Here is a 27,030-nt window from a genome sequence, read left to right on the forward strand (position 1 = left end):
TATTAGGACTTTTTTTTCTTATATTAAAACAAATGACTTGGGTACCATAAAAACACCTTTTTTTCCTGTGTTTACAGAGTACAGATAGTATTTACATGTTCTGTTCTTGTATAATCAAATCATCATAAGATAATTCAGAATTTCAAAGCATTCTTTTAGACTTCCATGTGTGGAATGTTTGAATGTATGCATATATCCATTATTTTATCATCACACTAATCATTTTCAGATTAAACTTTATTATAGGGGTTTCTTCCCATTCCATAGTCTATTAGCATAAACTTTTCTAACTAAAAATAGTAAGATCATTTTTAAAAGTTTATAAGATAAATTAAGGTGCATGCAAATAACTTTTTCTAATAGAAATTTTAAAAGATCTGTCAAAGCAGACTGGGGTTAGGAAAATGAAAGGATTTCTTAAACAAAAAAAGAAATAAACATTATTTTACAGTATCATGGAGAAATTTCTCAGCTTTAATTTATATTATGGTAAATGTCAATAGATATAACCCGGCCGGGTATGGTGGCTCACACCTGTAATCCCAGCACTTTGGGAGGCCAAGGCGGGCAGATCACGAGGTCAGGAGTTTGAGACCAGCCTGACCAACATGGTGAAACCCCGTCTCTACTAAAAATACAAAAATTAGCCAGGCCTGGTGGCACGTGCCTGTAATCCCAGCTACTCAGGAGGCTGAGGCAGGAGAATTGCTTGAACTCAGGAGACAGAGGTTGCAGTGAGCCGAGATCACGCCACTGCACTCCGGCCTGGGCAACAGAGCGAGACTGTCTCAAAAAAAAAAAAAAAAAAAAAAAAAAAAAAATATATATATATATATATATATATATATATATATATATGTATATATCCCACATAAACTCTAGTTTTCAATTTTTAAGAGTATAAAAGGGTCCCTGAGACCATAACATTTGAGGACCATGGGCATGAGGGCTTTTTTACTTGCTAAAAAATTAGCCAAAACTCCAGCAAACAGAAACATTAACTAATGACATTGTTTTTCATTCTAAACAGCCTATATAAAACACCATTTTTAACAAAAACAGCATTTACTACCTTTGTCACTTAAATTTTTTAATTTCAAGTAATCAAAAATTAATATTCTTTGAAATTATATTTTACTTTTTAAATTGTAGTTTAAAGAAAAAAACAATTTTTTAAACAAGTTTTCATTTTATCAGAAATGACATTCATCAGAATTAGTATTAGGATAAAAGAAGAACCTACGTTTCTTGAGCGCCTGTTTTGAATGCCTGACTCCTTCACACACATTACCTCATTTGATGCCTACTATCTGTGTAGCAGGAAACATCCTCACTTTGCAAGCATGAAAGTGAAAACCTTAGGAAGGCTAAAAGCAGCTTGTTCAAGGTCACAGAGCTAGTAAACCACAGAATTAGAATTCCAAGGTGGGTTTTCTGACAGCACTCGAGACCGGTGCTCTTCAGTTACACAGCAGGGCCTCTGACATCGTGTCAGTGTCAGGTTCCATGTGTCACTGAGGCTTAATATTAATTTATAAAATGAGCAGATTACATGATTTCATCAAAATCACTTTCTCTAGAATGAGATAAAAAGAACCTGAGGTCAGGTACGGTGGCTCACGCCTGTAATCCCAGCACTCTGGGAGGCCAAGGCGGGTGGATCACTTGAGCCCAGGTGTTGAAGACCAGCCTAAGCAACATGGTGAAACCCTGTCTCTACAAAAAAATTTATTTAAGTAGCCGGCCATGGTGGCACATGCCTTTAGTCCCAGCTACTCGTGAGGCTGAGGTAGGAGGATCTCTTGAGCAGAGGAGGTCAAGGCTGCAGTGAGCCGTGATTACACCACTGCACTCCCGCCTGGGCGACAGAGTGAGACTCTGTCTCAAAAACAAAAAAGAGAACCTGATAAACCTAACTGGAATTCGTAGTTGGAACTTGAATCTAAAACAAAACCATCGTCATTGTAACAATGTGAAAAAGAAAAACACTTTTTTCAAAGTTTTCCCATTTCATCATCTTATTTTTAAATAGAAACATCTTATATTTGCTTATTTTAAATCTTTGGATACCTGAACATAGTAGTAATATTTCTGCCCTCTGGTAAACAATTCATTTTCCATTTGGTTGCTTTTTTAAAAATTAGCTAGCTTAGAAACATATGATCAATCAAAACATGTTATGTGTGTGCTTCAAAAAGAGACTCATTGGCTTTCCAAGGACTCCAGTAGTTGTGGTGGGTGCTCGCTCCGTCTTCAGGGTGCCACTTGTTAACATGAGTGTGTGCTCTGTTGGCCTAGGTGGCAGAGGAGCTGGGGCATCGCCCACCGCTGTAGCCAGCTGCATAGTTTAAGCCGCTTAGCACAGCAGAATTTGGAAACACTTAAAAAAGCAAAAGGTAAACATTTTCCATTTTCTTTTAAAAAATCACTTAGCTGCTATGTACGTCTATAAATTTTAATGGAAAAACCAAATAACTTTATCACAGCTGAACTTTTAAATCTGTTCTTTGAATAAAGCAGTGGCATAAAATTAGCCTTTAAGCTTCTACTGAATTTAATCCTGGGTTTATACACTATTTGCACAATGCTGAAAGAATGAAGCACCTCGACCATGACCAAAGGTTTTGTGTTTTGTCATCAGGGTGTACAATCATATTTACAGACCGTTCTGGCATGAGTGCAGTGGGCCATGTGATGCTAGGAACAATGGATGTCCATCACCACTGGACAAAAGTAAGAAAGAGCCTTAAAATTAAAAACTCCTTGTCATTCATAAACTTTCATTTCCAACAATGCTGTAATGTTAAGGGACTAAAAAAAGGTTTGTTGTGTTTTTGTTTTTGTTTTTTAATGTTTTTAATCGCAGTATCAGCTGTTTTCAGATCAGATGCTTAAATACCATGTACTTAAAATACTTAAGAGGAAAGACTGATTTTTAAGGCAGTTTTTATCTGGTAATATTGCATTCTTTTCTGAAGCACAGCCTGAAAGCCTATATTCTGTTTTGTTTTACTTGTTCTTAACAGATTTATTGAGGTATAACTGACATTTAATAAACTGCACATGTTTCTTGTGTGTTATTTGGTAAGTTTTGACATATTATGTATGCCCATGAAGCCATTATCACAGTCAAGATAGCAAACGTATCCAACAACTGGGCATATATGTGAGCATATGGCCCTTTGTAAACACTCCCTCCCATCCCACCACCCCCTCTCCAAGCAACCACTGGTCTGCTTTCTGTTACTATAGATTAGTTTTGGAGTTTTTCATAAGTGGAATCATAGGGCTTGCAAACTTTTGTGTCTGGTTTCTTTCACTGTCTCATTTTGAGATTCATCCATGTGGTTGCATGTATTGGGAGTTTATTCCTTTTTATTACTGCGTACTATTTCATGGTATAAATATACCACAGTTTGTTTATTCATTCACCTGTTGATGAACATAGGGTCGTATCACTTTGTGACTATTACAAATAAAGCTGCTGTGAACATTTGTGCACAAATATATGGACATATATTTCCTTTCTCTTGGGTAAATACCTAGAATAGAATGGCTGGATCATATGGTAGAGCATTTTAACTTTTTAAAAAACTGCCAACACTTAACTATGGTCATCTTTTTAATTTTAGTCAGTCTAATAGCTCTGTAGTACAATCTCATTCAATGTGTAATTTGCATTTCTCTAATAATAAATAATGGTGAGCATCTTTTCATGTGCTTATTTGTCATCCACATATCTTCTTTAGTGAAGCGTCTGTTCAAATCAAATATTTATTTGGTAGAAATATTTGCAAACCGTATATCTGACAAAGACATTATATCTAGAATATATTTTCAAACTCTCAAATTTCAGCAGGAAGAGAAAAAACCAATCCAACTAAAAAAGGGCAATCTAAAACTCTCAAAATTCAGCAGAAAAAAAAAAACAACTAAAAAGGGCTACTAGAAAAACCAATCCAACCAAAAACGGTGACATGAAATGACATGTTGCCAAAGAGAACGTACAGATGACATGTAAGCACATAAAAACATGTTTATTGGCCGGGCACTGTGGCTCACACCTGTAATCCCAGTACTTTTGGAGGCCAAGGCAGGTGGATCACAAGGTCAGGAGTTCGAGACCAGCCTGGCAAACACAGTAAAACGCCGTCTCTACTAAAAATTAAAAAAAAATAAAAAGCCGGGCATGGTGGCAGGCGCCTATAGTCCCAGCTATTTGGGAGGCTGAGGCAGGAGAATCATTTGAACCCGGGAGACGGAAGTTGCAGTGAGCCGAGATTGCGCCACTGCATTCCAGCCTGGGCAACACAGCGAGACTGTGTCTCAAATAGATACAAAGATTAGATAGATAGATAGATAGATAGATAGATAGATAGATAGATAGATAGATAGATAAAACCATAGTGCATTATCACTACACACCAGGACGGCTAAAATGAAAAATAGTTACATGCTGATAAGAATGCAGAAAAAATAGGTCATTCATGCATTGCTGATGGGAATGTAAAGTGGTACAGGCATTCTGGAAAAAGATTATAATGGTTTCTTACAAAACTAAACATGACCCAGCAGTCACCCTTGGGTATTTACAGCAGAGAAATGAAAAATTATGTTCACACAAACACCTGTACATGAATGTTTATAATAGCCAAAAACTAGGAAAAAATGAATTTTCTTCAGTGTGTGAATAGCTAAACAAACTGGTACATCCATACCATAGGATTCTACTCAGCAATGAAAAGGAATGAGCTATTGATACATGCAGCAACTGGATGGATCTTAAGGGCATTGTGCTGAGTGAAAAAGTCAGTCTCAAAAGGTTACAAACTGTATGATTATATTTACATAACACCCTTGAAATAATAAAATGATAGAAAGGAAGGAAAGATTAGTGGTTGCCAGGAAGTAGAGAGAGGGGAGCAGAGGTGTCAGTGCTATAAACGGGATCCCTGTGATGGAACTCCTGTGTGTTTTGACTGTGGCAGTGTCACACGGCTCTGTACACATATAATAAAATGAATACACGTGTGAAAAATACACAAACGCATGCAAGTAAAACTGATGAACTCTGAGTAAGATTAATGAATTGTATCAATGTCAATTTCCTGGTTGTGATATTATGGCAATAATTGTATAAGATGTACTATTAAGTGAAAGGTATATGAATCTACAATTATCTCAAAATAAAAAGCTTTTAAAATGTAGTTACCATATATACATGAGTAACCCATGGAAAAATTGAAAAATAGGGAGTAAAATTATTTTCCACAAGATGTTAAAAGTAGATTATAAATAATTTGTAGAATTTTTACATAGCTATTGCTTTTATTATAGCAGAGTTTTTAATGCCTTCCAACTCTTCTAAAAGGCCCTGGCTTTTAATAGAAAATCTTAAGTCCTTAGTGGTCCTTCCCTGACCCAGCCCCTACGTCCCCCTTCAGCCCTTCTCTTTCCACTCAATCGCAGCAGGTCACATGCCAGCCATACCAAACTCCTTATTGTTTCCAAACATGCTGTTCCTTTTCATGGTTCCATATTTGCACATGCTCTTTTTCCTTCCCCCAAAACATCCCTTACATTCATGTGCCATTTCTAAATCTTACTTAATGTTTAAGATTGATTAAATTAGACTCCCTTAGAAACCTTTGCCTGAACCTCCTCTGTATCCACTCAGCCTGATTTGGCATTTAGCATGCTAAATTCGGATTTTTGTTTCCTTGTACCCCAACTGTGAGTCCCAGCCAAACAGGGACAAACTCTTATAATCTGTACACTTGAAGTGTCCAGCTCAGTGCTTACGTATATGGTAGGTGCGCAATCATATTTATTGCACTTAATTGTATTTAGTTGCTTTAAAGTAAATTTTGAAGGAATAGACTGAGTTGAAATACATACACTTTATTTCTAAAACTTTTCTTTATGCCATTTAATAATTCTAAACTAATTTAAGATTCTTACCTAAATATTTAAATATTAGTGCTTAGGATTAGGACTTACTTTCATTTGGAGCATATTTTTTTTTGGAACCTCACAAATTCCCATCTAAAAATCCCAAAGATTTACAGTGGCTTGTTTTGAATATTAATATTTCCAGCATTACATTAAGTTTTTTTATCTCTTACTTGAACTTTCCTTCAATGAAAATCATTTTCTTGTTAAAAATGTCTTAATGCCATTTATTGGAATTCTAAAATTAAATTATTATAGTAACATAAAACTAATTATTTCTTTCCCTTTGTTAACACTGTAGCTTTTTGAAAGATTGCCAAGTTATTTTGACCTTCAGAGGAGGCTGATGATTTTAGAAGACCAAATAAGCTATCTTTTAGGTGGCATACAAGTTGTTTATATTGAAGAATTACAGCCAGTATTGACACTTGAAGAATATTACTCTCTTCTTGATGTGTTTTATAATAGACTGTTGAAAAGTAGAATACTATTTCACCCTCGAAGTTTGCGTGGTTTACAAATGATCCTTAACAGGTAAATATCTAAGATAGAAGGATTACTTTTATTCCTTCGTCTAGGTGGGTTGTGTGTGTAAATGCATTAAATTGTTTTGTATTTCAATGGGTAGTTCTTAGGAATTAAAGAAAAAAATGCCACTACTTGTGTTAGCAACCCTCTTCTACACACTAGAAAAGCCAGCATGGGAGGATTGAAGGATTTAATGTCTAGAACATTCTTTGAATATATTGCTGAGCAGATTTACTGGGCAAAGTCAATCCAATGGAAAACATTATAAGATTAAACTAATAGTAAATCAGTAGCCAACATTTGTGGTGTATACACTGTTTGCCGAGCACTGTGCTGGGTACTTATATGCATTCTGTCTTTAGCTCTCACAACCTCACTGTGCAGCAGGTCACCCCTGGCATGTGACAGATAAGGAAGGTCAGAGGGCTTGCAAGTAGGTCGTGATCTTCTGAAGAAGTGTGTCTTTGGGGGCAGCAAAGCTTTAAGTCAATGTTGCTGTACTTTTGAGGTGGCTTTTCTTGATGATTTTTTTTTATTTTCCTGAAGACTAATAAAATATTTTCTCTGGTGGGGGAGAGGAGAGGGTCAGTGGTTTTTCCTTTAATGTATATTTTATTGCAGTGACAGATATGCTCCAAGCTTGCATGAACTCGGGCATTTTAATATTCCAACACTCTGTGATCCAGCAAATCTCCAGTGGTTTATTCTCACCAAAGCTCAGCAGGCAAGAGAGAACATGAAAAGAAAGGAAGAGTAAGTACTGCCAGTCTTCTGTAAAGTCAGATCATTCAGTCTAACTGAAAACCTCAGATATTTGGAACTCATAAATATGGGACCTGGAAACAGTATGAAGCTTAGGAAATTGACTAATTATTAGATATTCCATATTTATTTCTTCCCTACCTAAATTATATTACCACCACGGACCTCAGTTTGAGAAGTACAGCTTCTTAATATAAAAGTCAATTCAGAAACAGAATGAAAAATAAGAATATCAGCAAGGAATTTTCCAGATGGAAAAGACTGACAACAAGGAAAAATATTGGTTATTTCTTGATTAACAGGAATCTTTATTGTTTTAAAATTTTCAAACTGTTGATATAAAAAGAACTTTATCTGTATCTTGATTAAGTTGAGAAGAAAACTTAAAGTACAAAACTCATCTTAGGCCCGGCACGGTGGCTCATGCCTGTAATCCCAGCACTTGGGGAGGCCGAGGCAGGCAGATCACTTGTGAGGTCAGGAGTTTGAGACCAGCTTGGCCAACATGGTGAAACCCCATCTTTACTAAAAATACAAAAGTTATCCAGGTGTTATGGCGGTCACCTCTAGTCCCAGCTACTCAGGAGACTGAGGCAGGAGAATGGGTTGAACCCAGGAGGCAGAGGTTGCAGTGAGCCGAGATCATGCCACTGCACTCCAGCCTGAATGAAAGAGTGAGAAAAAGAAAAAAAATAAACGTTTTAACTATTGATATAAATAAAACTTTATCTGCATTTTAATTAACTTGAGAAGAAACCTTAAAGCAAAAAATCATTTTAGGCCGTGCACAGTGGCTCAAGCCTGTAATCCCAGCACTTTAGGAGGCCAAGGCAAGGAGATCACTTGAGCCCAGGAGTTCAAGACCAGTCTAGGCAACATGGTGAAACCCTGGGCAATATGGTGGGGAAAAAAAAAAAAAATTAGCCAGGCATGGCACCATGCCTGTATCCCAGCTACTCAGGAGGCTGAGGTGGGAGGATTGATTGAGCCTGGGTGGTCAAGGCTGCAGTGAGCTGTGATCACACCTCTGTACTCCAGCCTGGGTGACATAATGAAATCCTTTCTCAAAAAAATATATGTATCATTTTAGTTCCTAAGCAGTATTGTTTTTATGTTGTTTGTATCTTTGAAGGAGTCCTATTATAGCCAACAGTTTCCTGTTTTGTAGGTGGTAAGATATTGCTTGATAATGTTTTATGTATCACTTGTGAAGAAATGAAGTCATTTACTTAGCCAGCATTTACTGTGACTGTTACGTGCCCAAAGCTGAGATCAATGCCATTGATAGAAAGACTCAGACATGATCTCTGCCTCCTGGAATTGTTTCTAGTAGGAGATGTGAGTGCTGTAAATTTGCCAGTGGTAGCTGGAGCACAGTCAAGTGGGAAGAGCCAAAGCTGACACCCTGGTAGCATAGGGGACAAGGGAAGGCAACAGCAGGGAACAGGATGGAAGCTGGAGAGAATGCCATTCCACATGTCCATGGAGGGAAGTTTCAAGGAGAAGAGAAGAGGACAGGGTGATGGAACCTGGTTGTTTAGCAGGGTGCCAGTGGAAGCAGTTCTCCCGCCTTACCGTTCATTTGAGGCTCAGTTTCCACAAAGTACTCATTTAAAAAGCCAGGAATCTTAAATATAGAGAGAGGCTAGATATGGTGGCTCACACCTTTAATCTCAGCACTTTGGGAGGCCGAGGTGGGCGGATCACTTGAGGTCAGGAGTTTGAGACCAGCCTGGCCAACATGGTGAAACGCCGTCTCTACTAAAAATATAAAAATTAGCTGGGCGTGGTGGCATGCACCTGTAATCCCAGCTACTCGGGAGGCTGAGACAGGAGAATCACTTGAACCTGGGAGGTGGAGCTTGCAGTGAGCCGAGATCATGCCATTGCACTCCAGCCTGGGCAACAGAGCGAGACTCCGTCTCAGAAAAATAAATAAATAGAGAGAAGGGATGGCAACTAACGATGGAAGCCATTCTTTTAGCAAGAGACAGTGAGATCATTTTATATATAAAGTAAATGAAGGAGCAGCATCTCTTTTGTTTTCCTGTTTTCCTTATGGAATTGATGACAACTCGGTAGGCCAGATCCTATCACACCCTACCTCTTGATTGGTTGTTAAGTATTTGTTCATGCTATTTCTTTTCTAAATTTTACATCTGCTTTAACCCTCAAGAGCAATTCTAGCCAACTGTTCATCATTAGGACTGATTATTTTGTTTGCTATAACCTATCGGCTGCTTTTTCTCTTTTTCTCTATGGCCATTATATAGCTTTGGAGTAATGCTTATTAGATTGTGAGAAAGGAAAGTAAAAATAAAAAAATTCAAATAGGTCAATTTGTGAATGTTCCGTCCTACCAGTTGCTCAGGCGAATAAAAACCCATGAATCATCTTGATTCCTCTCCCCTGTCTCACTCCCTACCCCAGTCCACCTTCAGAGCAGACATGGAAAGAAACTCACCTCTTCTCCTTTCCTTTCCTGCTGCACCTGGTCTGAGCCTCCATCATTTTGTGATGGCCTCTTGTCTGGTCTTCAGGCTTCCACACTCAGCATCTCCCCAACCCCGCAGTGGACTCTCGTCAGAGCAGCAGTGGGAACCTAGTCAGAGCTGTCACTCCTCTGCCCAGTGCCCACAGACCCTCTGCCCACTCCCTTGCTTCTCTCAGCTCAGCTCCTGGGACTCTCCTCTCACTCGTTCTGCTCCAGCCTTTTTATAGTCCTCGGGCACTCTTGACATGTTATCCACTCCTGGGCCTGTGTGCCTTCCCCCAGCCTGAGGCACTCCTTCCTCAGAAATCTCAGCTTCCTCAGGCCCTGCTCACATTCCACCTTCTCTGGCCACACAACTCGAAGCATGGAGTCCCCACCCTCTGCTGCACTCCCCTCTCCACCTCAGCTGGCCTGCCTTTCTCCATCCACCTCAGCAAATTTGCTGTTTCCTTATTAATGTATTCTCTCTCTCTCCTTCCCAACAGAAGGTAAGCCCACTGAGGGAAGACTTCAGTCTATTTTGTTCCCTCCGGTGCCAACTGGGATGGGTGCCTGGCACACAGGGGGCCTTCAGGAAATACCGATTGACCTTTCACCTGCTTCCTTAGCCTTTTTCTGGCTCTGGGCCCCAGAGTCCTCATCCCTATACTTAGCCCCCAAGAAGAGAAAGCACTTGCTGTTGGTCCCAACCTTCCTTCCTGCTCAGTCATCATCCTCATGCCCCTGACTCTGGGCCCAGGAGCCTCTCCTCGCCTTTGCTGTCTTTCCTTCCTTTGCTCTGCTGTCCCTGCCCTAGTAAGACACCTTCATTATATTCGAAGAGCAGTGATGAAGACTAACTTCTTTCCTTCAGTGAAGCATGTTCCTAGAGAGTGGTTTTCAGATACTTTTTCACTTATAAGGTGGATTCTTAAGTGGAAACATAGTTTATTTTTATTAGGTTGGTGCAAAAGTAATTGCAGTTTTTGCCATTTTTTTATGGCAAAAAACTGCAATTACTTTTGCACCAACCTAATAAAAAAGATTAAAGCTCTCAGCTGTTCTAGTTCAAAAGAAAAGGAGCCAGAGGCCACCCATGCTCACAGGGTCCTCACAGTAGCAGCTCTGCTGGACTCTCAGCTTGCTGAATAGTTAGAAAAAGGGAAAAAACCCACACTATTCTAAGCTAGTATGTACAACCCACATGACCATCCCAAAACTGTGTGACTTGTAGCTCCTGTCTCTTGGCATTGCCTGGCTGGCATATAGACAGTATTTGCTGCCTGTGGAACCCCCAGTCCTTTGGAGGCTGGTGATAACCTAGTTCACAGTTCTTCTGTAGGGTGGTAATAACCCAGAGTAACCTGCACCTGAGAATCAACCAGCTCTCCCTAGCAGGGGCATTCCTCACTTTATGTTTTTATAGTAACCCACTCAGATGTTTCCTTTTACTCTATATCATATATTTCAAATTTTAAAATCACTTAAATAAGTTGGAAACAATCAAAATGTACAGTAATAGAAGAGTGTTTAAGTAGTTCTGATACTTGCATGTAGTAGAAACAATGACTAAAGGGTGGGCATGGTGGCTCACAGTTATAATCCCAGCACTTTGGGAGGCTAAGGCAGGAGGATCACTTGAGCCCTGGAGTTCAAGACCAGTCTGGGCTACATGGTGAGACCTCGTCTCTACAAAAAATTTAAAAATTAGCTGGGTGTGGTGGTTTGCACCTGTAGTCTCAGCTACTTGGGAAGCTGAGGCAGGAGGTTTGCCTAAGCCTGGGTGGTCAAGGCTGCAGTGAACCATGGTCACGACAGTGATACTCCAGCCTGGGCAACAGCAAGACCCTATCTCAAGGCCAGGCACAGTGGCTCACACCTGTAATCCCAGCACTTTGGGAGGCTGAGGCGGGTGGATCACCTAAGGTCAGTAGTTGAAGACCAGCCTGGCCAACATGGCAAAACCCTGCCTCTACTATAGAAAAAACAGCCGGGCATGGTGGTACATGCATGCAATCCCAGCTACTTGGGAGGCTGAGGCAGGAGAATCGCTTGAACCTGGGAAGCAGAGGTTACAGTGAGCCAAGATCACGCCACTGCACTCCAGCCTGGGCGACAGAGCAAGACTCCATCTCAAAAAAAAAAAAAAAAAAAAATTAATCTCATGCTGACTGCAGAGGCACCCAAGGATGAGGAAAGGCTGGTACACGTTATTTTCCTGTTGAGGGGACAACCCTGGGCAACCTTAACAAGGGCTGCCTTCTCAATGCTTCTCTAAGATTGTACCTCAGAAGAACTGATGGGTTCTCCTGATATAAAGCTTGTGACCCATGGGTCTGGGAAACCTGGAGATGAGACTGTAGGCTTCTCCTAAAAGGAATGAAAATGAGAGTCTTGCCCAGATTTTAAAGATATATTGTTGGAGAACTATGCAGCAACATGGTCACACTACAAGGCTTTTCACTTCCAAGCATGGTTGTTAATATCTTTTCTTGACAAGTGAAAAATCCCTTTACAGAAAAAGTTACTCATCCCCTGCTATTGATAGAAGTTTAAGGGTTCTTTCTGTCTAATCCTGGAGAGATTAGAAGCAGGCCCAGCTGTGAAACATTTGCAGAACCATCAGCCCTGACTGCTGTCTGTCTGCTTGAATCTCTAAGCAGCATATTCTAAGTAAGAATAATCTTACAGAAAAAGCAAACAGCACTTAAGAAAGTGATCAGTATTATAGGCCATGATAACTAACTGCTATGACCATTTCTGTTTTTTACTGTCTAGTTTATGGAAATTTTATAGTACCTACTTTTCTATGCAGTGTTTAAGGGTGATTAAATGTAAGATATTTGGACATTTTAAACCAATGAAGTATTTTAAATAGACTGGTTCAGGGACACGACCATGGCAGTTTTGCTTTATTCACGTTGTTAAATGGGCTTGCTGAGTAACTCATGTGTTGGTCTAGATGTAGCACATTGAATCCACTTATCAAAACACTGTATCCCTAAGCACTTGCCACCTGTGGGAGAAAGTATTTGAGACACTGAGTTCTGCCTAGAGTTGTATACTTTGTAGACCTGAACTGAAGCCCCTGATGGAATAAGAGAGTTGTAACCTCAGGCAGAGGGGAGGGAACAGACAGGGGGCTGGTGAGGTAGGAGAGTAAGAGTGAAGAGAACCTGTCCTCCTCAGGATCCTGGTTTTCTGTGAGCCTGCTTTTATCTGGGAAATCTTTAGACAGCATTACTTCCCAAGGGTTAAACTTTAGGTGGGTCCTAAAACTAGGGGTTTTATATTCTTCATTTTCTCCTTCCTTCAGTCACTAACAGCTGCTAGGTAAGGCAATATAAGAGCTTTTTTAAATTTATGTTATTTTTAGCCCTTTACTGCTAAAAACATTAACAAATACTTTTAGAGATCCATGTGACAGTAACTCAAAAGATTTAACAATGATGGCTATTGGCGTGTCTTCCAAACGTATAATTTGGCCTTTGTGGGTGGCATTTTCAGTGTTGTGAGTGCACAGTTAGGGCCCCAACATGTAAGAATATATTTACATTGTGTGTTCTTTTGTTTGGTTATGACAATATTTGTTCTTATGACAATATTTTTATTTTCTATATAATAGGTTAAAGGTTATTGAAAATGAATTGATACAGGCATCAACAAAGAAATTTTCTTTGGAGAAGTTATATAAAGAGCCCAGCATTTCTAGTATACAAATGGTGGATTGTTGTAAGAGACTTCTAGAACAATCACTGCCTTACCTACATGGGATGCACCTCTGCATTTCACATTTTTACTCTGTTATGCAAGATGGAGACCTTTGTATTCCTTGGAATTGGAAGAATGGAGAAGCCATTAAGTAACACAGAAATCTGTTTTATTTTTTTAAGAGATAAGAAAGGAACTTAAATTAAAAATATTTAAATCCACAATTTGATATAACAGTATTATTTACATAAGAACAAAGTTTCTAACTGCTGCTTTAAAAGTAGACTTTTTTAAAAAAATTAATTTCTGCTAGGAGAGGTTTTATATGCCAGGCGTGGTGGCTCATGCCTGCGGTCCCAGCTACTTAGGGAGGCTAAGATAGGAGGATCACTTGAGCCCAGGAGGCCAAGGTTGCAGTGGGCCCAGATTGCACCATTGCCCTCCAGCCTGAGCAACAGAACAAGACCTTGTCTCAAAAAATAATAATGATAATTTAAAATAAATAAGTAACTAATAAAAAGATTTTATATCCCAGTCTTATGATGTTGGTTGGCAAGGCTAGATAAAAAGATGTTAGAATGAAAGAACATATTTTTAGTGATATGTAAATGAAGGATTCTACAATAGTCATATATTTTTATATGAATGAATGTTGGGTTGGGCTGGAGAGGTATGTGTGTGTAAATATAAAGGTCTCACATTCAGAGTATAGCTCTGAAATAATGGAACTCATGTCTACAATTCAACATGCATCTGTATAGTTACATCTCATGTAAATATACACAGACATATTTTGCAGCCAGTAATTGACAGTTAATGTCCAAAACAGGTGATTGATAGGTAACAGAAATTAGATAACCACCAATTTTGCCCAAGAGAAAGACTAGAAGGACTAAAAGCAGTTGAATGTATGGTACTGACATTGTCATAAGCAGTCTGATAACCAGTTTATTGAAACGTGTGCATTAACAGAGAATTTAATTTTAAACCCATAATTTCTCCTATCCATTAAAATATTATAATTGTTAGTAGTATGAAACCAACAGGAAATGTTTTTTAATCATTTAGTGAGGTGATTCATTTGTTTCATGGGCAAACACTATCCAGGAAAAGCCTTGCTTGCCTGTTTCCCAAAGAGCTCTAAGAAATAGAATCAAGTGTAAAATGGTTCAGACCATTCAGGATTTCTTGTCACTCTTCTCAACCACGATCTTCCTGTTATTACTGATGTTTGAAACCCTGTCATTAGCCCCGGCCTGGTTAAAGCCCCTCAGAGTCACCTCTCATTCATAGCAATAGAATTCAACCCCAAGTGGTTGATGGTGTCCCCAGCACAGCCGAGAGACCTGATCTCTGGATTCAGTGCTTTTAGCTCTTCGAGTTTACCCTAAGATACCTTCGGGCAATATTTTTAACCAACCCAAAAGCTCTTCAGGTCATTTCTGAAGAGGACAAGGTGAATCTTGGCTTGGAACACCATTTTTGGGCTCTTGCTACTGAATGAATCAGAAAGGAATTTTTTCTGAAGAGCATTAGAAAGTAAAAGAGATGTTAAAATAAGTTCTTGAAGTATGTTTTATATTTATCTAAAACACTGATTTTAAAAGTTTACATTCAAATGTGTATTCAAAAGAAGTACTGATTTGTAATTATTATAGTTTGTGTGTATCATCCCTTTTAACCGTGCCTAACAACTGTACTTAAATTTTGTTTTCTAGTGTAACAAATGTTTCCCATAAGATTTTCTAGAGCCAAATAATGGGAGTGAAAAATTCCTTAAGTGTTATATAAGAAAATATATTAGAAAATCAGCTTTGGATTATACGATTTCTAAAATATACTAATACAGAATCCTCAGTAATATGTTTTGAATTGGATTTTTTCTCAGAACTGTTACATAATAAATAATACATCAACCAGATAACTGTTTTTTTCTTGTTACCCAACTGTTATTAGTTTTGGAACTATTGCAGTATAATAGGAAATGAGAAGAAATTGGTACTTGTATATGCCTGTTTGACTTCCTTTCCCACTCTAACATGAAAGAGAAAATTCTGTCCCACCACTGAAAGCTGGCACAGGAGCAGGCCCCCCTCACTGTTTCTACAAAGTCTCAGGTGAGAAGTGGTCTCCAAAGGGACCTGAGCTCCAGCTCAGGGCTAGGCCTGTCCCAAGGGAGAAACAGGCCTGCACTCCCCTGCCCAGGCTGTCCTGGCAGGAAGGCATGTGTGTTTCCCTAGGACAGGTTCTTACCAGGCCCTACTTCCTCCTTTCTCTTAAAGGACTGCACCTCCAGGTGGCCTTCCTGAGCTAATGAGAGGGTAGTGGGCTTTCAGAAGTGGCCAGGTGGGACAAAAGGGACCAGGGCTGTCTCAAGGGCCAGCTCACCTTTGGCATCTCTTGGGAGTAAGTGTATATCCCAGATAGAGGTCCCTGGAGTTAACCCCCTCCAGCTCAGGTCACTGTCCCAGCAACCTGATGCCCCTGTGTCCCCCATACTAACTTGACCTCTTTCATGGAGTCTGCCGCCCCACCCCCAGCTTCCCTGGAGAATTCTGCCCAGGCTTCCCTGGAGCAAACCAAGCAGATCAAATCAGTTCCATGGAGACTGATGGGCCCCAAGGCTGCAGGCTCCTCTGTAGGGGACCATGGTCCTGGCAACCTCCCACCCACAGGCCAAGGTATAGGAGCCACAGAGGCATCCAGTGAGGCCTGGCAACTGGCTAACCATGAAGTGCCCACACTGTTCCAAGACCACACTCCTACCTGTGCCACCTGGCCAAAGACCCCAACCACAGGCCCTCTGACATGGCAAGGTCACAACAGGTCCCATCCCATGGGTGAAAATCGACCCCGATATGGAGTCCCAGTGGCCGCAGATGTTAAGTGGCCCTGGGTGCAAGACCCACCCCTCACTTGTCCTCAGTCTCCCCACCTATAAAAGGAGGCACGAAGGCATGTTCTTAGAGGTTCTTGCCACCCTGAGAAAATCTGTCCCAGGAAGCCAGACAGCTCCCATGGGTGGTCCTTGGCCAGCCTAAGTACCCCTTATTCCATAGCAGTTGGGCAAGAACGAGAAGAAAGAAATGGAGTAGCTAGTGCCCCAGACAGATGAGACCTGCATCGGTGCTGTGGGACCCTTCTTCCCCCAAGTCTCGGCTACTACAACCTGGTTCTCTTGACTGCTCAAAACCCTTCCCTCAGGCCAGGTGCAGTGGCTCACACCTGTAATCCCAACTACTTGGGAGGCTGAGACAGGAGAATCACTTGAACCTAGGAGGCAGAGGCTGCAGTGAGCCAATATCGCACCATTGCACACCAGCCTGGGTGACAGCAAGATTCAGTCTCAAAAACAAAACAAAAAAAAACCCTTTCCCTCATGGGGAACTGTTATGGAGTTTTTTTAGGGAATTTTTTTTCCCTAAGCTGACAGATATTACATATCAGGGGACTGAGGCCCAGACTAGGGAAGAGAATTGTCCAAGACCCTTCTGCCTGCTGCAGGCAGGAGAGGTGAGATTAGAATCCAGGTGTCCCAGGGGCTGGACGGATCTGAGCAGGCAGAAGCACCCCCAGCTCTGGGCAAGCCCACCATGAGGTCAGCACCAGGTCTAGGGTCACCACCACGTGGGACCTCAGAGCAGCACTGCTCCATCTGGGAGGAGGATAGGATCACAGCAGAGAAAGACACACAGGGACCCTAGATGTTCCCTGGGTGGCCGGGCGTGTCAGTCCTGGCACGATGGTAGGAATGAATGAGCCAGCAGCTGAGAGGGCCTAACTTGCTTCTACAGAACTGCTGTGCAGATTGGGTCAGGGCGGCACCTTGCAGCTCTGCTCCCCACTGCTCCCATGGGAATCCCGGCAGGCCTCGCCCCTCACACCTCCCACCAGCCAAGCTGCTCAGGGAGCCCCATTCTCCCTCTGCTCCAGCCAGGGGACGGGGCGCCCTGGGACCACAAAGGCCCCTAGGAATGTCATGCTCAGAGGGACGTTTGCACACCTCTGCCCCAAAGTGCCCACCACCAGCCTGAGCAACATAGTGAGACCCCTTCTCTATTAAAAATAAGAAAAATTAGCTAGGCATGGTGGCACATGCCTGTAATCCCAGCTACTAGGGAGGCTGAGGCAGGAGGATCACTTGAGCCCAGGAGGTCTAGGCTGAAGTGAGCTATGATTGCACCACTGCACTCCAGCCTGGGTGACAGAGTGAGACCCTGTCTCAAAAAGTCCCCACCACGCCACTCATTCGGGGGAAAGTGGCTCAGCAGAGTGTGCTGCCCAAACTGAAAGGGCCATCAGATTTTCACCCTCACAATCTTCAAGAGTGGGAGGCAGTCGGTTTTTCTTTTTCATTTTCTCATTTGTCACTACCACAGGCACTGGCTTAGACCTGTTGGCCGCCTGCATTAGCCAGAGACTTCTAGGTCAGCAGGACAGCAGAGATGCCTCAGGAGGGGCTGTGTGATTGGGAGGCAGGGATAATCTGTGTAAGTGCCAGCCCTGGTGCCTCACTTTTATCCCCACCCAGAAGTGCAGGATGTTTTTTTTATTTTGGTTTTTTTTTTTTTGAGACAAGGTCTCCCTCTGTCACCCAGAATGGGGTGCAATGGCACGATCTCACCTCACTGCAACCTCTGCCTCCTGGGCTCAAGCAATCCTCCCACCTCAGCCTCCTGAGTAGCTCATACTACAGGTATATGCCACCACAGACAGCTAATTTTTGTATTTTTAGTAGGGTCGGGGTCACTATGTTGGCCAGGCTGGCCTCAAACTCCTGGGCTCAAGCAATCCACCCGCCTCGGCCTCCTAAAATGCTGGGATTAGAGGTGAGAGTCCGTGTGCCCGGCCCCTGAAGTGCAGGATTTTTAAGCCTTGGGGTAAAATTCTCGGTCTTTTCCTTTCTTGTCAGTCATCCAATAAACACTGAGGGAGCACCTCCTGTATGCAGGCCCTGTCCGGGGCACTGAGGACACAGCAAGGACAAACACGCTGCCCTTGAGGAGCTGACGCCGCAGACTTCCCTCAGTGCACTGGTTTCCTGTGACTGAACTAAGTTATCAACTCGGTGGTTTAACACAATAGAAATTGATTCCCTCACAGCTCTGGGGGCCACACATCTGACATCAAGGTGTCAGCAGGGCTGCTGGCCCTCCTCGGGCTCTGGGTGGGATCCCTTCCTTTGCTTCTTGCCCTCAGTTCCTGGTGGCTGTCGGCACTCCCTCACTTGCAGCTACATTTCCCCTGGCTCTGTCTCTGGTGACAGCCACCTCCTCTTCCCAGTGTCCTCCCCGTGTCTCTGCTGGTCTCTTATGAGAACGTGTGGCTGCATGTGACCCACCAGATCACCCATGACAAGCTTCACTGGAGCTTAACTCCCAAGAGCCTTAACTGGATCATATACTTTGCCACATGAGGTGATATCAAGGTTCTGAGGTTTAGCAAATGAATGGATGATTTTGAGGGCCACCACTCTCCACCCTCTACACTTGGTGGCTTGGCCTCAACACCAGCCCTGGAGAGGGGCCTCCCTTCTAACCTTCCTTTTTTTTTTTTTTTTGAGATGGAGTCTCGCTGTGTCGCCCAGGCTGGAGTGCAATGGCATGATCTCGGCTCACTGCAAGCTCCACCTCCCAGGTTCAAGCGATTCTCCTGCCTCAGCCTCCCGAGTAGCTGGAATTACAGGCACACGCCACCACGCCTGGCTAATTTTTGTATGTTTAGTAGAGATGGGGTTTCACCGTGTTGGCCAGGCTGGTTTCGAACTCCTGACCTCAGGTAATCCGCCCGCCTCGGCCTCCCAAAGTGCTGGGATTACAGGCGTGAGCCATGCGCCTGTCCTAACCTTCCTTTCCTGGGGGGTCTCCTGCAGCCCTGTGTTCAATATTGAGATTGTTTACATCCTTTAACAATTCTTTAACATCATTTAACAATATTTATATTAAACTTCTCATGTTTATATTTTTTTAATTTTTTTGAGACAGGGTCTGGCTCTGTCATCCAAGCAGGAGTGCAGTGGCACGCACCATCACGACTCACTGCAGCCTTGACCTCCTGGCCTCAAGCCATCCTTTCTCCTCAGCCTCCCAAGTAGCTGGGACTACAGGTGCATGCCACTACGCCCAGCTAATTTTGTATTTTTTGTAGAGATGGGGTTTCACCATGTTGCCCAGGCTGGTCTCAAACTCCTAGAATCAAGCGATCCACACACCTCAGCCTCCCAAAGTGTTGGGATTACCGGCATAAGCCACCATGCCCGGCCTTAAACTTCTGTTGAAATCACTGTGTGTTGGCTGGGCGTGGTGGCTCACGCCTGTAATCCCAGCACTTTGGGCGGCCGAGGCGGGCAGATCACCTGAGGTCAGGAGTTCGAGATCAGCCTGAGCAACATGGAGAAACCCTGTCTCTACTAAAAATACAAAAATTATTCGGGCGTGGTGGCACATGCCTGTAATCCCAGCTACTCAGGAGGCTGAGGCAGGAGAATCTCTTGAACCTGGGAGACGGAGGCTGTGGTGAGCCGAGATCACACCACTGCACTCCAGCCTGGGCAACGAGAGCGAAACTCTGTCCCCCTAAAAAATAAATAAATAAATAAAAATAAATCACTGTGTGTTTCTGTTTTCTGATTGGACCCAGACTGATAACAATGATTCAGCAATGCCCCCTGCCATGAGTGGGAGGCCAGGCTTGGCTCCTTCCTAGGCACTCCCCAGCTAGAGGCCTATGTGCCCTCAGCCTTTGAATTCCTGCTCGCATGTTGCTCATTCATTTAAAATGCAAAATGTAGTGACTGCTGTCATCCTCTGTGCTGAGAGATAGCAGCCTTGCTCCTCATGACCTTGGCCTTAGCAACCCACCTGTTCCTCAAAGTAAGGTGCATGGGCTCTGCAGCTGACATTTCTCCCCAGTCGGGGTAACCCCGATGTGTTCCAGAGGGAAGAGTTGCTACAGTCGTGTGCTCTGGATGGCTGGGGCCTCACTGTGTGTCCAACCCAGCTATAAACTGGCAGGTGGGGAACACTTGTGGCCTGGCTGCTGAAAGGAGGGTGTCTGTGGTGTGTGAGCTCTGCTGTGAAGTCGAAGGAGGTGATGGGCATACATGTGGAATGGAGCCAGCGGCCGTTAGGAACTGGGCCCTGCCATTCTCACCCAAGTGGCCCACTGTCCCTGGAGTGACCCTCGCGTGCTCTGCTCTGAGTGTGTCTCCCAGTCCCTTCTCAGTCAGAAGCAATGCACAGTCACGTTCTCCAGCCCACGGTAATGTCTGGCTCCACATGATTCGAGGCACAGCTTATCTGGCTACCCCCTCATCTCCCATTGTGCAACCTCAGGGCAGGGCCCATGTCCCATCCCAAGACCGCCTCACCAGGCCCCCTTGTCTCTCACCAGCCAAAGTCCAAAGTGAGTCCAGGGAGGTGTCCTAGCCCCTCCCCCATGCGGGGAACAGGAGATGGCACAGGCACTGGGCACAGGGAGGAGCTGCCCCCACCGAGTAGTCTCCTTAGGTCAGAGCAGCAGGTAGCTCCCCATTTATGAGGGTCAGGGAAAGACCCACTCACTCTCTCCAGATGGCTCTTAACCAGAGGGCCAGGCAGGGGGGCTTTGAGGGCTGGGCTCCAGACACCTTGCCTCCCCATGCTGAGCCCACAGAGACTCTCAGCAGCAGAGGGAGAGAGAAGCAATGGCTCTCTTGGGCAGGTGGTCTCAGCACCACAGGGCTGCGCACAGCAAGCCCCCAGCCTTAGGAATCTGTTTCCCTCCTGAGCCAGGGCTGGGCTCCCCTTATGTACACCTCATTCCATGGAGTCTTTGCTGCAGCCTCCAGGGTGGGCACAGAGGGGGGACCACCGACCTATCCCCATCTTCAGCTTAGCTTGCCAGGAAGTGAAGAAGCCAGGCCCCAAATCAAGGCCTATTGGCTCCAGAACTCAATGCTCTGCTCACTAACGTCTGTACACCCAGCACGGCCCCAGGCAGGGAGGTCACCACAGGATGGAGGCCACATGTTCAAGGAAACCACGCAGAGGGCCCTGTGTACCAGACTGGCAAGGCGACGTCGCACGTATGACAGGGACCGGGCCGAGCCAGGGTTGTGTGCGCTTCCCACATCCCTCAAACCCAGGGCCAGGGATCACTGCAAGAGGAGCCAGCCAGGGCCATCTGGTGTGTCCCAACCCAGGGCCCTCCCCACTGCCTGATCTGTAGGGCCAGCCCATCCAGGCCTGGGGCTCACTAGGGACCTCTGCCCCAGGCCATCACCCGGGATGGCTGGAACTCTCTGTTCTGACCAGAACCACTTCCTTGGGGAAAGGCGAGCTCAGCAGTGGGACAGCAGAGAACTTGGATGTCCATGAAGCCATCTTCCCCCAACAGTCTGAGGTTAGAATGTCCTTCATCCTGAATGGTTGACCAGCTGCCCTAATATTGGCTTAAGCCAAAGTAGACAAGGCAGACAAGACAAGACAAGGCTTAAGCAAAGTAGACAAGTGGTAAGACAGAAAGAACTTTCTGGCTACCAGAGGCCTCATCAGAGTCAGAATATGGTAATCCCATCACTCGGGAGGCAAATAAGTCACCATAGAGCATCTCAGGGCCTCGACGGCCACCCAGCAGGGCACATGAGGATGTCTCTGGCCTTATTTTTCCAGCATGTAGTAGGTTCTCAGTAAACATGTGAGACAGGTTCATATGATCAGTGTGCCTGAGGGCTGTGACAGGCTCCTGAAGGCCACTTGCCCTTGTCCGTGAGGTTGGTATCCAAGTGACCCAAGTTCATGGGTTCCCCTCCCCCTACTCCTGGACCTCCATCCATGTAGGTCACCGATGGGGACATGCAGGTCCAGGGAGCATGGCTCAGCATCAGGCCATCACTAAAGCAAACTCCAGCCCACAGGGACCTGGCACAGGGTAGGAATAGGGGCCCTGCGGGTCAAAGGGAGTCATGCCCTCTGGAGGGCCTTAACATCCTTTGTTGAGGACCCTCTGAATGTCTTCTCTTGGCTTGGTCCAGCAGACATTGGAAACCTCACTGGGGAAGGTTCATGGGAGGGTCACGGGTACCTTCAATTTCTAGCAGAGAACCCGGAAGTAAGTTTCCCTGCCCTGCTGAGTTCATTTTCGGGGGGCAAGACCCAGTTCCAAGCTGAGGGTGCTGATAGTCCTTAGGGTTAGCCCCTTAGGGGTTCCTGGCCCACTGTCCTGGTGCCCCTCCCTGGCCACCACCAGGCACCTGAACACTAGCTTCCCAGCAAAGCCCCCACCCACAGCAAAGACCACTCCGAGGCCTGCCCACCATAGGCCACAAGTGTTTGGAGGACAGGGACCAGATCAGGTTCCAGCCGCACCAATATTTTCCTCCACCAGAGCCCCAATGTCAAAGGAGCTGCTGGAGGGCCTGTTCAAGAAGAGTGTAGTGACAGAAGCCAAGGAGACTGTCACCACCCCTCTCCATCCTGCTCCCTGCCCATCACTCCAGGCCTCCATGTCAACTCTGTCCCAGCTTCCCGCCCTCTCTCCCCCACTCTATCTACCTGCGCAGATGGCCTGTCCCTGCAGATATCTACACCATCTCAGCCCTTGAGCGCTCCCCTGCCCACCCTTCACACTTTCAGAACTGCACCCCCTGCTCAAACACCTTCTGTGGCTCCCCAGGACGGAAGAAACAGTCGCAGCTCCTCAATGGGTCTCTTAAAAGCTGCCCACTCCCATCTCACCTCTTCCTGCCCATATCTGCGGCTGGACCTGCTGGGCCAGCCAGCGCCATGACCTGCTCCGTTTCAGCTTCCAGCCTCCATAGCTTTGCTCAAGCTGTTCCTGCCCTCCAGGATGCCCTCCCCATGCCTCAGGACCCAGTGGCTCCTCCTGTGCCCCACCTCGGCCCTCAGAGCCAGGCACACAAACTCTGCAACTGCATTGCACGGAGCTCTGACCCAGGGGGACTTGTCCTTGACTCCAGGCCTGCAAAGAAAAGCAAGAGGGAGCATTTCACATGGGAGAAGCCACTTGAGTGGCTGGGGGAGAGGCACAGAGCTGGGAAAGAGCAGATGTGAGAGCAGGCCTTGAGTCAGAAGGCACTAGAGATGGTGAGGGAGCAGATAAGGTGGCTGGGGGCAGAGGACTGGGTCTCTCCCTGAATGCCCCGTCCTTTAGCCACACCTGAAGACACATACCCAGCAGCTGGGGGAGGAAGGGGAGGACAGCGCCTGGATGCCCCTGGACAGGAGGGTGCTTGGCTCAGGCCACTCCCAGTCCTGGTAGGAGTGTGTGGTCAGTAGGACCCTGTAGCCATCTGCAGCCTGGGAGGCCCTAGCAGGGCTTGCCCAGACTCTGCTTGCATGCCTGCAGTGATGGATCGCTCACTCACTTACCAGGCAGCTCACAAGGTGGGGTGCAGCTCTGAACAAGCAAAACCTCTTCCGAATGGAACTGAAATCTGCCCCTGGGGCTCCCCATTGAGCTCCCCACTGACCCCACGGTCCCTGTGGGATAGCCCCTGCTAGACCCTGTGTCTCCTCCTCCAGACCTTGCAGTCTCAGGACACTCAGCTCTTCTCCAGGAATCACCTCCTTGGTGCACAACCCTCAGATGACCTTGATATGGTTTGGCTGTGTCCTCACCCAAATCTCATCTTGAATTGTCGCTCCCATAATCCCCATGTGTTGTGGGAGGGACCTGGTGGGAGATAATTGCCTCACGGGAGTGGTTTCCCCATATTGTAGTGAATAAGTCTCACAAGATCTGATGGTTTTATAAGGGGTTTCCCTTTTCATTTGGCTCTCATTCTCTCTTTGCCTGCCGCCATGTAAGGTGTGCCTTTCCCCTTCCCCCATGATTGTGAGGCCTCCCCAGTCACGTGGAACTGTGAGTCCATTAAACATCTTTTAAATTACCCAGTCTTGGGTATGTCTTTATCAGCAGTGTGAAAACAGACTAATACAGACCTGGAACCCCCTCACCCTTCCCTCATCTCTGCCCCAAACAGGCCACCACCCCTTGACACAAATTCTGCGTGGGAGACATGAAAACCTGAGATTTGGGCTTTACTCAAAACATCACCCTATCAGAGCCACAGTGCAGCAAGTTCAGCTCACCTGAGTGGGATCTCAGAACAAACCCCCAGGAGCAAGTCAGCTGAATGCATGGCCTGGGCACCCTCCCTGCCCAGGCCTGACAGCTTTTGTCTCTATGGTCTGTGATCCCCAAGGACACTCGACTCCCAAGATCCCCCCAATTCCCACTCCTGCCACTGGGGGCAGAATGTGAATTCCATGACCAAATAGCCCCTCTCCTCACAGTTGTGTTTCTAGAGTCTCTCCACCTCTGACCCTCCATCTCCTCATCTTTCAGGGAGTGGAAGAATGCGATCACCCACAGATCCCTACTCATCCCACTTCCATCCCCCCTACCCTTTCCCTACCACACACACAAACATATCCTGGCCTGGGGTGAAGTTGCTGATTTTATTAACTGCAAGGCCCCCGTCATCCAACACAGGGCACCAAGCCCACGTGAGGGGGCCCACACCCACTGTCGGTTGCCTTTCTGGATTAGAGACTCTGAGAGCTCAAAGTGATAACTGTCTTGGAAATGGGCAACAAGGCCAACTTTGATAGGAAACTGCTGCCCAGGTTTTTTCATACATCCACTGTCAGCAGAAGTGGCCCTGCCAGGCCACAGGGCAGAGCACGGTGGCTCGTCCAGGGGATTTGTTGCCCTGGAGACTCTGCTGGTGTACATTGAGCCCTGATCCCCACCCCAGCATGAACTCAGATTCCTGCTGCAGGCTGGGCTTGTATCTCTCTGGGCATTTCTATGACACTGGCTGGGGCTCTTGTGGGTTGGAGGAGCATGAGGCTTAAGAGCCCATGCTGGGTTAGGATTGGAGGCCCTGGTCCCAGTCACTCTGCCTGAGAGACCCACAGCCCCTGCCCTGGCAACCTTTCCCTCCAAGGCCCAGGGCCCAGATGACCTTGCAGGCTCCGGCCCTCCCTCTGCCCTCCAGCCTGGCCTGCTCTCCGTTGTTTGCTGGCCGTGTTGCCATGCACAAGTGGATGTCCTGGAGCACCTCATGAGTGCCCACCAGCAGTGACACCAAGGACTTCATCAAGGCCACCCTGCAAGGGGCACAGGGAGTGCACACCAGTCCTCCCGCCCACCCTGTGGAGCTGATGGGCCCTGCCCTCTCCCACCCTCAGAAGCAGCCAGGCCCTCGGGATCAGCTGACCCCAGCCTGGGGCTGACTTCCATGCTACCTCTTGTTCCCAGTGTTTGTCATAGCCTGTAGGTTGAGCAGGCTTGACAGACTGGCTTGCTCACTCCCATATTGTGCAGGGAGGAAACTGAGGCCAAGGTAGGCAGAATCCTGCCGACGTCACAGGACGTAGTGGCCGCAGATTTGAGGTTGGATCCCAGGCCCATGCCCCCAGCTCAGAGAACTCTCAGAAGGGTCAGGGTCCACCATGGGCCCATTTCCTGGAATAACATAGAAGCCCTAGTCGGAAAGAGACACGGAGCCACACCCTAACCTTTGACCTCTGACCTGCCCCACCTAGGATGAAAGCCTCTGGAGGCCTGGGTCCGGCCAAGAATCAGATGAGACCTGGGAGCCGCCTGGGTGTGATGATTCCAGGGCTGGGCTGGTGCAGCCTGCTGAGGGGCAGGGGAGGGTGTTTCTCCACCAGGACTCTGTGGTTAGGCACCCATGAGCCGGGAGCACCAGGATCTCCTCTTTTAGGTAGCTCTGTTCTTCCTTGCCCTCAGAAGTCCACTTCCTTGGTACCCAGCAACTCAAGCTCCTCGTGGCAGGGCACAGTGCTCCACTGGCAAAGCCGAGGATGCACTGCAAGGCTGGCTAATGCTCAGCGATGCCGGCCAGGCTGCACGTCCGATTCTGGCCACACCTACCTGCCGTTGCTCTGCATGCCCCACTCCTCTCTAGTGTTCCTGATGTACTTGAAGTCCATCCTGATGACGCATTTCACCTGGAGCTGCTCCGGTACAACTTGGAGCCACCTAGCACCTGTTCAGGGACACTAGTGGGGCTTCTCCAGCAGCTCCTCCTCAAACCAGGTCACTCTGTGTGCCCAGGCCAGGTCTGTGTCCTTCCCCCAGGATGCACTCCTGTACCCCCGAGGCTTCCTCCAGCCCTCAACCAGCCTGATCAAGGAGGGCCAGGTCTGTGATGGGGCTGCTTCCCACACTGCCTGAGTCACTCCATGCCTGGAGGGCTGAAAGGCAGTACCCAGAGAAAGCACAGAGCTGGGGATGGGGGTGACCCTACCTAAAAGTGTGGTGTCCACTGCTAGCTTCCTCCAGCCTCAGGCTGTCTCAAAAGGGAGCTCCATGCAGGGCCCCAGCCCCTCCCTGCCCTGAGTGCTGTCCTCAAGCCCAGGAGGCCCCAGGCTGTGCCCCAGGGACACTGGGCCTGCAGGTCCGTCATCCTGGCTTGTTCCCATTCCCACCCAAGGAGGTCTCCTGGCTCTGGCTGGAAACTAAACATATTGCTTTGACACCAATGTCAGAAGCCCAAAGAATTAAGAGTAAAATACCAAGATGGCTTGGTATTTTAAAGGAAGTTAAGGGAAGCTCTAGGAAACGTTATG

The 27,030-nt window shown here is 46.0% G+C and overlaps 1 protein-coding gene across 5 annotated transcripts in view; it reads left to right on the forward strand.

Annotated features, from left to right (window-relative positions):
* Window positions 1–15,347, forward strand: part of TCAIM (T cell activation inhibitor, mitochondrial) — a 71,320-nt gene extending 55,973 nt beyond the window's left edge. For all 5 annotated transcript variants that reach the window (NM_001282913.2, NM_001282915.2, NM_173826.4 and 2 more), the window contains 5 exons: window positions 2,299–2,396; window positions 2,642–2,733; window positions 6,254–6,486; window positions 7,102–7,233; window positions 13,341–15,347. In NM_001282913.2, the coding sequence (NP_001269842.1) occupies window positions 2,299–2,396; window positions 2,642–2,733; window positions 6,254–6,486; window positions 7,102–7,233; window positions 13,341–13,581 (796 nt within the window). In that variant the 3' untranslated portion in view covers window positions 13,582–15,347. The remainder of the gene's footprint in view (window positions 1–2,298; window positions 2,397–2,641; window positions 2,734–6,253; window positions 6,487–7,101; window positions 7,234–13,340) is intronic.
* The last annotated feature ends 11,683 nt before the right edge of the window (window positions 15,348–27,030 follow it).

Source organism: Homo sapiens, chromosome 3, assembly GCF_000001405.40.
Source record: "Homo sapiens chromosome 3, GRCh38.p14 Primary Assembly".
Taxonomy (NCBI): domain Eukaryota; kingdom Metazoa; phylum Chordata; class Mammalia; order Primates; family Hominidae; genus Homo; species Homo sapiens.